At 41.5% G+C, this 13,200-nt stretch overlaps 1 long non-coding RNA gene across 1 annotated transcript, besides 1 other annotated feature; it reads left to right on the forward strand.

Annotated features, from left to right (window-relative positions):
• Window positions 5,078-5,372: a silencer, noted in NCBI's record as "tiled region #9467; K562 Repressive non-DNase unmatched - State 13:Ctcf". NCBI's record gives its function as "represses a minimal TATA promoter and a strong SV40 promoter by Sharpr-MPRA in K562 cells {active_cell/tissue: K562}" and the evidence as "EXISTENCE:reporter gene assay evidence [ECO:0000049][PMID:27701403]".
• Window positions 9,683-12,781, forward strand: LOC124901911 (uncharacterized). The gene is made up of 2 exons (XR_007060860.1): window positions 9,683-9,833; window positions 11,873-12,781. It is a non-coding gene; the product is annotated as an uncharacterized LOC124901911 (long non-coding RNA).
• Window positions 12,782-13,200: the final 419 nt, after the last annotated feature.

Raw genomic sequence — 13,200 nt, forward strand, 5'->3', positions numbered from 1 at the left:
TTATACAGTAAAAAATTTATACCCTATTCTGGATCCAAAACTAAAGGTTTTGAGTGGTAAATAAGTATTTATGTTCAAATTTTTTTCCGAGGAAGAAACTAGTTAATATACCACAGCTTCTTATATAGCATCTCATTTCCTCCCAAGGAATCATTTTACTAAAAATGTTTTTCTATAGTGGTATATCAGTGCACCTTATGTTTCATTAAAATGTTTAAACTTCATGTCTTATAATACTATTATTCAAACACATTTTAGATTTACTCCTTATCTGCTCTTTTCTTCTTCTTCTTTAATCATGCAATTCTGGCTGGGCACAGTGGTTCATGCCCGTAATCCCAGCCCTTTGGGAGGCCACAGCAAGAAGTTCGCTTAGTTCAAGACCAGCCTATGCAACGAAACAAGACCCCTCTCTACAGAAAATACAAAATTTAGCCAGGCATGGTGGCATACACCTGTAGTCCCAGGTACTCGGGAGGCTGAGGCAAGAAGATTGCTTGAGCCCAGAAGTTTGAGGCTTTGGTGAGCTATGGTTGTGCCACTGCACTCCAGCATGGGCAACAGAGCAAGATCCTATCTCAAAAAAAAATAAAATAAACAAAAACAAACAAGCAAAAACTACCACCATGCAATTCCAGTGGGTTACCTCAGAGTCACTAATTCTTTCTCAAATTTTATCTTCAGGTCATCTTTTCATGGGTACACCAAAGCAAAAAGTCTTTTTTCCCATCCAGCTTCCCAAATCATTTGTATTTGATTAAAAATACCTTTTAAGGCTGGGCACAGCGGCTTACACCTGTAGTCCCAGTGATTTGGGAGGCCAATGCAGGAGGATCACTTGAGCTCAGGGGTTAGAGGATTCAGTGAGCTCTGATAGAACCATTGCACCCCAGCCTGGGTGACAGAGTGAGACCTTGTCTCTAAAAAAGTATAATATAACATAATATAATATAAATAGATAAATAAATAAACTAAAAATATCTTTTAAGCCCTCTTTCTCCCCTAGATTCAATGGAAATCTTTGCCTCTTCCAGTTCAATCTGGACATCAAGTTCCTGATACCCTCTCTTGATCCTCAAAATGATAAATTTTTTTCTTTTTTATGAGTTCCACCACCCATCACCTGCCACAGAGTCCTCGAATAAGAAAGTCAACTATTGTATAAAATAGAAAACACTGGGTCAGAAATGAAAGGACCCAACTTCCAATCTACCATCTGTCATTTGCAAGCTGTTAGAAGTTTCACAAATTACACAGTCTCTCTGAGCCAGAACTTCCTTATGTATAAAAGAGGGGTAAACATTCTTCCTTGCAGGTTTTTGACACCTGGAAAAAAATCCTACATGAGGCATAAAAGCACCCACTATAGTTCTGGGAACACAGCAAAGGGTCAGAAAGTTGACTGACATTGAACGTAAGCACAATTGCATTTAGGACTCACGTGTCTGTGGCAATAACTTTCTAACAGATAGGACTTCTTTTCCTTTTTAATAGCTCCTGCACTACAATACCAGATTAATCAGCTAAAAGCATCACTGTCATCATGCCACCCTTGGCTTAAGGACATATGTAAGAAAAGCATAAGAATCCTCACTCTGCCATTCAGGGTCCTCTGTGACCTCGAGACTGCACGGAATTTCACCTCCAACCTGGCTAGTCTTCTCGCCACCCCTGGTTTTCCCTACCCTGATCCTTCCCATCTTCTTGCCCTTTACCCTCATTTGTTGTTGAAAATCCTTTCCTCTCCAAGCCTTCCTCATTCTCCTATCTTGTTCATAAGCTTTGCAGCTAATTTTATCCAAATGTCTCTATAATCTCTTATCCTCCAAGAGCCCCACGTGCACACAGAACACACATATATTCTGTAGTGTATATTGATACACTTGGTACATATATTTGGTACTGTATATTTTGTACACACACATTAATCAATTAAATATATTCAATTTATTAATGAAAATATAATATGGCATGTGTACCTCTTTGTTCATTTGTTAGGGGTGAAAACTGTATCACCCCCAAAAAAGCTCTGAGCTACCTGAAGGCAAGAGCTATGCCACTGTCTAGCACAGGCTAATTAAAACACACTTTCTAAAATATACATATGCCCCCATCACCTACTAGACTTTTTTTTTTTTTTTTGAGACAGAGTCTCATTCTGTCACCCAGGCTGGAATGCAGTGGCAAAATCATGGTGTGCTGCGGCCTCAACCTCCTGGGCTCAGCAATTATCCCACCTCAGCCTCTCAAGTAGCTGGGATCACAAGTGTACACCACCACACCCAGTTAATTTTTAAAATTTTTTATATTGCCCATGCTGGTCTTGAACTCCTGGCTTCAAGCAACCGTCCTGCCTCAGCCTCTCAAAGTATTTGGATTACAGGCATGAACAAGCACACCCAGCCTACTATGCTTTTTGAGAACCAATCTCTTCCTTTATTCAGCAATCACAATACCTTTTTGTGCTTCTATCACATATACTCCCTAACCTCTAAGAGTTCATAGCCTGAGAAAAGCAGGTAATTAGAGTAAATGGAGGTGCACTAGTACTGAATGCCTAATAGTAGAAATAACAACACTTCTACTGGTAACTCTCATTTATTGAGTGGCTACTACACGCCAGGCACTGTAGCACCTGTAACTGTGACAGAAACTTGAGTGCAGGTTATTTCATTTCATCCTCTAAAAAAAAAACAAAAAACAAAAAACTATCAACTGCTAGACTGGGTGTGATCCTCATTTTATGCAAGCTCAGAGCAGTAAAGGGAACTGTCCAAGGTCATGGGGCTGGTAAGAAGCTGAATTGGAACCTGACACCACGCCTGCCTGCACCTAAAAGGTTTTCACCACTCTGCAGAATGTTATATTCATACCCAGGCACGCTTTTCTCTTTCTTCAAGGGGCGTATGTGCCATCCCTCTGCCTTCTGGATGCATCTTCCCCTTCCTAGGTGGCTCTTTCTCATTCTTTCCTAAGGCCTTTCTTCCTCTGAGAGCAGGGGCCTGCTATCTCCTCTCCAGATCTGTCACAGGCCAGCCTTCTGCACTTGCTGCAAGCTGATGCCCAGCCAGCTCTGCCTCTCCTCTCTGCCGATGCTCCTGACGCAGACAACTGCAGTGACTACGCCCTTCCTCAGCCCCCACACTCCTCAAAAAGTGCTTTTCTGGGTTTCCACGACTGCCTCCCTTCCTCCCCAAAACGATTCTCCATCCGAGGAATATTTGAAACAGCTGCTGCCCGTCCTAATGTGCCAGGGCTGAGATTGCTGCTGGAACTTCCCAGGGCTGCTGCAGTAACCCCGCCCCACTCCTGGGAAGAAGATTCTAGGCAAGTGACCGCTTCCACCCTCTTTATGGCCCTGGTCTGGGGTCAGAAAGGAAGAGGACTGGTATGCATTGAATTCTTCTTGGGTGCCTGGCAACTTCTAGCACATGTGTGCATGTTGTTTCATTTAAGTCTTCACAATAATTTGGCCAGAGGAGTATTACTACCCTTGTTTTTGCATGAGAGGGAACTGGGCTCAGAGAAATTAGGGGACTGGCTAAACTCATACAGCAGGGCAGGGGATCAGAAGCCCAGTGCACCTGCCCTGTCTCATAGCGTCTTTTTATTGGGGCACACTGTGGTTATATATTGAGCCCAACTGGCAAAACTATGCAGTAGGTGAAGTGAAAGTTGAACTCAGCATCCTTCACCTCTCCCTTGTGTGAGCCTCTCTGGCCTCTCTTCTATCAAATCACCCCATGTTGGGCACTGTGCAAGCACTTTATGCTTATTATCTCATTTGGTTCCCCAAACAGTGCTGCCAGCATATGTGTTATCCTTAACTCCATTTTACAGATGAGTTAACTGAGGCATCCAGGGGCTTCGTGCATGCCCAGGCCACACAGTGAATACATGCAGAGCTACACTCTTATTCTCGGTAACTGTACTTAAAAAAAAAAAAAAATCAGCATTCCTCTCCCAGGCACTCAGTGACAAGGGTCCCCTGAGGTGATCTATAATCTCTAATCTTCCAGCTTCTTGGCACTGTAAAGGAATTGAAAACTAACATAGCCAAGTCAAGAATGCTTTTTGTCCTTCCCTTTTTCTCTCCTAAATTCATCTTTTTTCTTTCTTCTTCTCAATTTTGAAGCCCTCCTTACTAAAGTCAGGGGCAAGGGGTGCTGCAGAAAGTCTACATTTATGCTCACTAACTGGGGAGGAAACACTGAAGTATTTATTTTTGTTTTCAGAGGAAAATATAGGTAAAGGCTGTCCTTGCATTGTGAATGTCCAGCCCAGGGGAATACTTGGCACATGGTAAATGCTCGAATATATTGTATGAATGAATGAAGATAATGAATGAATGAATGAATGAATGAATGAATGAATGAAGATAAAAAGGGAATAGGATCCAGTTCCTGGTAAGTACATGAATAAAAAATTAAAAGTAATAATTAAAAAGGGAATAGAAAAAAATCAGTACTCTCATAGCAAACAAATCAGACTTAGATGGTAATATCTGAGGACAGCAGGAGGATTCATTTGCATACATTATTTACCTCCATCTGGAATATCCACTCTTGAACTTGCCTGCAGAAAGGCCTTCTACTCTTCGGGTAACATCTCAAATGCTAACTTTAAAAAAATCTTCTTCAGTTGGATGTAATTTCTCTCCTCCTTGGCATCTCATAGGACTTTAATTTCTCCTGGCATTTACTCTCTTCTACCTCAAAGTCTATTTATTCATATGGAGACAGGATTCCATAGTGTTAAGTAGATTCTAGTTTGCTGCCAGGTTCCCCGAGTTTGAATCCCAATTTGGCACTTGCTAGCTGTGTGACCTTGAGCAAATTACTTAACCTCTCTGTGCTTCATTCACCTTGTCTGCAAGATGGGAATAATACTAATCCTTCTTATATGTGGTTATTATGAGGATTTAATGAGTTAATATACTAATATACAAGTTAATTTCATCCTTAAAACAGGTCTAGCCGCACAGTCAGCACTACATAAATGCTGGCCATTATTGTGGATCTGTCTGGCTGGAAGGCAGTAACAGCATCTTACTCAGTTTAATGTTTCCTTTAGTTCTGACCACAGGGCTCTGGACAGAGGTTTATTGACCATCCTAATTGTATTTGGGCTTTAAGAAAACACATGTCCTTAATCAGAGTGCCTGGAACCTGACCCACTTTGGGTCTGTGACTTCCTAGCCCCTCTTCCAGGAGCTAAGCTCTCTGTTCTTCTCAGAGGGAGCAGCAGGCAGCTCCTCCACCAGGAGGAGCTCAATGCCCTCAAACCCAGACCCTGCAAAGCCTCAAACCCAGACCCTGCAAAGCCTCGCCTCCATGCCACCACCTGTGCCCTCCCTAACCTCCTTCTGCACTAAAGTTTCTGCTGTTTCCCAATATGCCGGGCTCTCTTTCCACTTTTCACCTTGAATATGTATGCCCTTCCCTCTGTCTTGTTGAATCTCTGTAAGGTTCAACACCTGCCTTTCCCACCTACCCAGTGTCCACAAAAGCATATATGCTTAGACTACGCATGTAACACCAGCTGCTGTCCTGCTTGGCTCCTTGCTTCTTGTAAAGAGTCCACATCAGTAAATGTAGACCTGCTTCTATCAAATTCCACTGCATAAATAGACTGTCTTTATTTAACTACTGAGAGATAGAAAAACAGTTTCCAGGCTTTTGTTTCTTTTACAATAGAAGTACCCCCAGGAAGAATAACTCCTTAAGTTCCTGATGCTTTACTGTGAACAGGTTTACCAGATGCTCTGAATGCAGACAGCAGGTAGGTTGAGCTTAGGGCAGCCTGAGAGGAAGAGGCCTGTGAGGATAAAGAGGCCTGCCCAAGACTCTCTTAGGATGCAGGTTGTGCAAAAACGCAGGATCTCACTACCCCTTTTACAGATAACTTCACTGGGACCCAGTGGTCACTGGCGCAGGGAATACAGTCCTTGGCAGAGATTCTCAGAAAGTTTAAAATGAGCTCGAATACGCAGGTGGGAAGCTGAAAGGCATTTCCCCCTGGAAATATGACTGAGTTTTCAACAGTCACAAATCTAAGAATTCCAAGAAGAAATGTAACCTAAAAATACCGTCTTTCTGCCCTATACACTTTACAGCCCTGGAGGTTGGGATCCTCCTGAGATCTGAGGGTACCCCTTACTGAAAACCAGCCCTTTTTCCCATGGTGCCAGAGCCTGCCCAGGCACAGCCAAAGATGGAGTTTGGCTGGAGGGAATTCAGCACTGCGACTTTAACAGGGCGTGCCAGTCCACTGCTGCAGTCTCTACTGCAGTGAGCTCTGGGCGGCAGCAGCCCCAGGCTGGGCGGAGGCTGTCCAGTGCCTGGGCTGAAACCAGTGCCCTGAGGTGCCACCCCTACAGAGACCAACCACCAGGGCCACCCGTGAGCTACTTGGCTTCGGTGATGATACCATGAGCTCCTGGTATCTACAGATTAATACACAAGAGACAAACAGCACAAACTGCTTTTTTAAAACAAGTCTCCCAACAGACGTTCAATAATTCATTAGAGACAAAGCACTTAATGGGGAACAAGTAATTTCTAAAGCTTAGGTCAGAGATGCTTTCAGTTACACACAACATTGGGCTTTTACAGAATTTTCAAGCTTAAGCCCTGAATGCAGATGGGTTGTCTTTTTTTTTTTTTTTTTTCACTTTTCGCATTTTTCACACTTTGGGAAAATTTTTCTTCTCTAATTGTGCTGTTTGCGAGGGTTTATTTAACCTTGTTATAGCAAAAACTTCACTCATTTAAGGACTGTGACTCATCAAGAACATGAGACCACATGAGCCTGTTAGAAACAAGTTTTCGTTCACGGTCATGGCCGCGTCAGTGACACTCCTAGCAGAGTTTGTGTGCAATTGGAGCGTTTGCCTGCATCCTCCCTTGATTAGACTTCCTCAAGTTCTTTATATAAGATTTTCCCCCTTTTTCAAGAGCCTGCAGTTACATAAAGATATATAGAACACAGCACCAATTAAATGTCTTCCCTCTCCTCTTAAACTTCCCACCTTCCAGATCTTACTAACAAAGATGACAAACCCAATTAGGTGGTTTAAAATAGCAGGTCTCTGTGATAGCCCCATGGAGGCAGCTATATATTACTTTACAGCATCTTACACCCCGAGCGAAAGGTACAAAAAAGGAAACAAAGATATTAATATGTTCCTGCTCCTGTTGGATCGTAATTTGGCTTGTTGAGCTAAATCGGATAGAAGAGCTGAATGTTCCAGCCCATTGCAGGATGCTCAATATATATTTCCCTCCCACTTATTCCTTTATGGGGGAAGCAAAGCACTAGGCAGAAAGGGAAAAAAGGTGAGGGTTCCATAAACTTTTGCTTTATTGGAGAATTTGTCCTCATAGGATTCATTCTATAAGTGGCTAGTTACAGTGCCCTTAGAATAAGAGTCAAAAGAGTGAGGGGACTCTGTGCTCACTTTGGCAGCACATATACTAAAAAAAAAAAGATTGAGGGGACTTAATATGCTTGCACATACATACAATATTTGCACAGATGTAGTCAATGCCTTTTTTTTCCAACTTAAATTTTCTCTTTGGAGGCTCCTGCCACCTAATGGTCAAATTGCATCACTGCAAAGCACCAAGCGCAGGCCTTGCACAACCTGGTAGGATTCTTTCCTGGGTCAAAATTGCTCAAAGACATACGAATATCTTTCTACACAAAGTTCACATGCCCAAGTGGTAGAAGAGTTAGTTTGAGTGTGACCTTCTAAGTCTGTTGAGAAGAGCTTATTGCGTTCTTGTCATCAGGAAAACTAGATTTGGGTTTTGTCTTTGCCCTTAGCCTGACGTTGAGAAGCTTAACCATTCTAGGTTCACATACCTAATGTAGAGGTTGAGCAAATCAAGATAATGTCTTATTTCCTTCCAAACTGTGTTGAAAAGAAAATATTGGTGGACTTAGGTAGGTTGCTGTATATTGCTTTACTCCCTATTACACCTTGAGAAAACTATGCAAGAAAGGAAACATATATCTTTTTGATGAATACCATAATATCTTAAACACACAAGTTGAAAGCTTACTAAGATAGTGGTCTATTTGAACTTAGAGTCAGTTTAGACCATCATAATACAGCTGATTGCGCACAACTTCATTGGATCAATATAATGATTAGTATAGCATATATTTTAAAAATATATTTATGCTATGTATAAATTGTGGCAATAAAAGTGACAAATACCAAAAATAAAAATCTTCCAGTGTATTGTCTATTGTCTTTGGAGCTAAGGTTGTTTTGTTTGTGTTTTTTTATAGTGTCTTCTGAATCTGGAATGTGGCATGACCTTCTTTTCTACCCTGTTCTCCTAAAATTGTCATGGATTTATAGCATGGTGGTAGGCTAGTGGGTAGGAAAGGGGCTGACATCTAAGAGCCCTCTGTATACTGAACACTGTGAGTGTTTTCAGGTATGCCTTCTCCCTTTGCCTCCCAGTACCCTGATAAGAAAGCATTTGTCTTTGTTTTTACATAGGAGGAAATGAAAACACAGCCATCAGGTGACTCAACCAGTTAATACGGTGAATAGGGAAAGAGCTGGGATTTGAACTACAGATAGGGTAGAATGTCCTTATGGGATTTTAACTGTTGTACCATGGTCAGACTCAACAGGTAGTATTTAATATCAGAAGTTAAAAAGGACCTGGCACATAAATGCTCAAATATTACAACTCAGCTCCCCAAGGTGCATGTATAAGAATTGCGCGTGCCTAGTCATACTCACTCGGCTAAGCTAGGAGAAGGCAGTGGTCACCAGGGCTTGACCAGTATCTGCCTCTGAACCTGATTAGAGTTGACCCCAGCTCTGACGTTAGGATGGTAAACACTGTAGACATAAGTTAGGAGGTGACTGGGGCTTCACCAGTCCTTGAAAACACTGTGACACCCAGAACAGTCACAGCAAGTGGGGACAGACACTTTGTTTCGAATATTCAGAGACATCTCAGGAGGTAAGTGTGGTCATTGGTCCGTAGCCAGAGGAGGTCAGCTAAAGCGCCTCCCCCAGCCCTCAGATAGCATATTCAATAACACCACTTGACTTTATCCTGATCAAAACAGACAGCCAAGCCCACAGGGAAGACAGCAAACCTTAACTCAAGGACACAAAACGACCCAGCAAGGGCAACATGAATGCACTGGCCCTAGCATTTGTAGTGGCTCTGTCTGGGGGGACATGGGAGAGGCAGTCTGCCTGCACTGTCACTAGCATTTTATTTTAAAATGCGGTGTGGGTGGATGAAATTGAAATCTACTTGCCACCAGACAGGATGACACTGTTGCAGGGCATGAATCAGGTTATCTGAAGGTTGTGATGGATTAGGAAAGGCTCTCTCCTGCTGACAACAGGGTAAGTTCCTGCCAATTCCGCAGTGATCAGAGGAGACAGAGCATTTTTTTTTTTTTTTGGTCTTTTCTTCTCTCTTTTCTGAGCATGGAGGAGGGAATGAGCAGAGGCAAAGGCAGGCCTTCAAATTCAGTAATCCTTGGCTGTTGCTGGCAGAGTCATTTCCCCACTTCTTTCTTTGCCCTTGCTTCCTCCTGCTGTGGGGTGGGGGCATGGGGGACAGAAACCGGCCCCCATCTCAGCAGCTGCCCCTGAATAACTGAGGAAGGGGGTGCTCTATTCTATCTCCATTTCCAGGGATGCCCCAGCTCAAGCTGCTGCTCCAACAGGACAGTCCTACACTACAGGTTTTGATCCAGGCCAAAAGGGGTACGATTGATTCTGCAGTGCTCAGATTCTGGATGCAGTATGAGGGGACATCGTTCCTCTGCAGATGTTACGGCTGCTGGTAAGAACCTCCACTATGTCAGGGTGTCAGCCTGGTAGACCCGAGGAAACAGATTTCAATACGAGTGGATCCTGGCTTCAAAATAAATAGTGAGACCCTCCCAGCCCACGCCCTTCCTCCATGTGCCTAAGAATAGCTGAAAAGCCTTCCCCAGGAGACCAACCTTTGAACCCATACTAAAGTGGAGGCTTCAAGCTATGATGAAATTCTTAACCTTTGTTTTTTTTTCCTCTTTTTTCTGTCGTTTAAAGAAGCCTATGAACCCCATCTCAAAATAATGTTCTAAATTCCATAAAAGAAAATAATAGGAAGTAAATTGTATTGCAAAGTCCTCTAAGAATCTTTGGTTTAAAATATAATTATGATCTAATAACTTCGGAAGTAAATTCTGTCTCCCCAGTAAGATTATAATACATTTTCAGTTCAGCTAAACCTCCCCTCACCTCTTTTTTTCCTTAAAACTCCCCTTTCAAAGAGTCCTTCCAGACCTCTCCCTCAAGTACAGTGCCTAACGTAGTTTTTGAGTTCATTAAAGGCATATTTCTCTTTAATGAGTTATAAATTATAGGTTAAAAAAGGTAACTTAAAATACCTCAGTTTCTCATTGTTCCTTACTCATCCTCTGCTGATGGGGAAAATAAAATTCCAGCCCCTTAATTAAATCTGTCAATGTGAATTTTAAAAAAATCAACATGTTTTTATCATTTAGAAATTTGCACTAAGTAATGAGGTTACTCCTGGTTACTTGTTAGGATTTTTTCAGCCAATGCTCTCTGAGCTCATAGGCTCTGTCCTGAGACCATCTGTAGAATTACCTAAGGTTATTCTGTGCTCAACATTGGAAGAGCTCACATGCTGAAAAGGACGGAAGCTTGTTGGTGGGGTCACTGCTTACCCCTTACCCTAGCAGAAGGCACAATACAGGGTCCACCCGCAAACACATAGATGTAAGTTGGCCTTTTGAAGGCATTCGGTGATTTACTGCTTGGTCAGGCCAATTATGAGAGAAGTGTCTTCTACTGAAGGGTTCGCCTGGTGAAAAACCTCAGCAATTGTTTATTAAATTAGAAGACACTCAAATTATTTATTGAGCTTGGAAACAGCTATGACAGGTAGAGCGACTCCTAGGTGTCAGACTTTCTTCTAGATATTTGTATTGTTTCAGGTAATTTTCATCACAACTCTGTGAGTAGTTACTGTTATTCCCATTTTCCAGGAGAAGTAAGGTTCAGAAGTCAGATTGGGAGAATATTGATTTTTCATTCCCCAGTCTGCTTAGGTCCAAAGCCCACACACTTCCTTCCTCCCTCCTGACCCTCCACCAATGTCACACAGACAATAAAGAGATCAGCTGTGCAACGCAAGGGGTTGGAGGAGCTTAAAGGGAGTCCCTGCAACCTCTGCACTCAGCAGAGCATCCTTGTACACGATAAGTACTCAATTGAATGTGTTATTTATTATTATTATTATTAGGTTTATTTTTCTTCTGTGTTTGAGGAGGTAAAACTGAAAAGGCAGTTTGAGTTCCTTTTATAGGACTGGGAAAGGCTTTTGGAATGCCCAGTTGAGCCTCAGATTTTATTCTGAAGTTTATAAGAAGTCATTAGCTGTCTTTTATAGGGAATGACATTAAAAAAGATTAGCCTGGGTGCCACATGGATGGAATGAGAAGGCTGATATTACAGACAGCCAGAATCAATTCTATAAGAGTTTTGACTTCAGGGCTTCTGCAAATCTCCTGATACACTCAAAATGTAATTGTGTCTATGCACAATTACATTTTTCTGGGGAAAAAAGGATTCATAAATTTTAATAAAACCTCAAAGGAGTCTATACGCACAATAAAGTTTATGGATCACAAGATAAAAGCCCAGACGTAGCTGACAGTGGTGGGAATACAAAAGCAGGGATCAATTAAAAGATTTCTGGGTAAATTAACAGGATTTAGTGACTGATTACTTGTAGGCAACAAAGGGAAGAAATGAACCAAAAATAATAAAAATATTTCAAATTTGACTGTCTCATATTGTTATCGGCAGAAATGAGGAAGAAGGAAAGGAAAGGAAAGGAAGAAAAGAAGGAAGAAAGAAAAGTCAGGAACCTGTTGAGGTTGTAACGACAAGGAAATATTCAAGAGGAAGCCTTTCAGAACCTTCATACACTTGGTGAGAATGTAAATTCGTACGACCACTATGGAGAACACTTTGGAGCTTCTTCAAAAAACTAAAAATAGAGCTACCATATGGGGCGATCCAGCAATGCTCCCACTGGGTAGAGACCTGAAAGAAAGGAAATCAGTAGGACAAAGAGATAGCTGCACTCCTGTGTTTGCTGCAGCACTGTTCACTATAGCCAAGATTTGGAAGCAACCTAAGTGTTTACCAATAGATGAATGCATATAGAAAATGTGGTACAAATACACAATGGAGTATTATTCAGCCATAAAAAAGAATGAGATCCTGTCATTTGCAACAACATAGATGGAGCTAGGGATCATTAAGCTAAGTGAAATAAGCAAGGCAAAGAAAGACAAGCATCACATGTTCTCACTTATTTGTGGGATACAAAAATCAAAACAATTGAATTCATGAACATAAAGAGTAGAAGGAAGGTTACCAGAGGCTGGGAAGAGTAGTAGCAGGTGAGGGTGAGGTGGGGATGGTTAATGTTAATGGGTACAGAAAAAAAATAGAATGAATAAGACTTACTATGTGATAGCACGACAGGTTGACTATAGTAATAACTTAATTGCACATTTTAAAATAACCAAAAGAATATAATTGGATTTTTTGCAACACAAAGGATAAATGCTTGAGGGGGTGTAATTCTCATTCTCCATATGTAATTATTACACATTGCATGCCGGCATCAAAGCATTTCACTTACCCAGTAAATATATACACCTACTATGTATCCACAAAATTAAAAATAAAAATTTGTTTAAAGAATCTTTAAAAATAATGGCAATGACATAATCAAAATACTTCATAAATAATTTAATATTGATTACATGTGGAAATACTATTTTTTATATATTTAGTTAAATAAAAAAAATTCCAACTTCAAAAAAAAAAAAAGAAATCTTTCATTGTAGGGAAAAGTAGAAACAAATCCTGAGGAAGACATAATTTTATTGTCATCTCTGTGGAGATGTTCACTGAGAGTCTTGAAAATGAGATGCTTTCTGGGTAGAAAGAGACCAGAAGGGTGTATGATCCCAAGGGCTAAGAGAGTTTTGAGATAAAAAGAAATAATCAGGCTGGGCACAGTGGCTCACGACTGTAATCCCAGCACTTTGGAAGGCTGAGGCAGGCAGATCACAAGGTCAGGAGTTCGAGACCAGCCTGACCAACACGGTGAAACCCCA

The sequence above is a fragment of the Homo sapiens genome, chromosome 8 (assembly GCF_000001405.40).
Source record: "Homo sapiens chromosome 8, GRCh38.p14 Primary Assembly".
Lineage (NCBI taxonomy): Eukaryota > Metazoa > Chordata > Mammalia > Primates > Hominidae > Homo > Homo sapiens.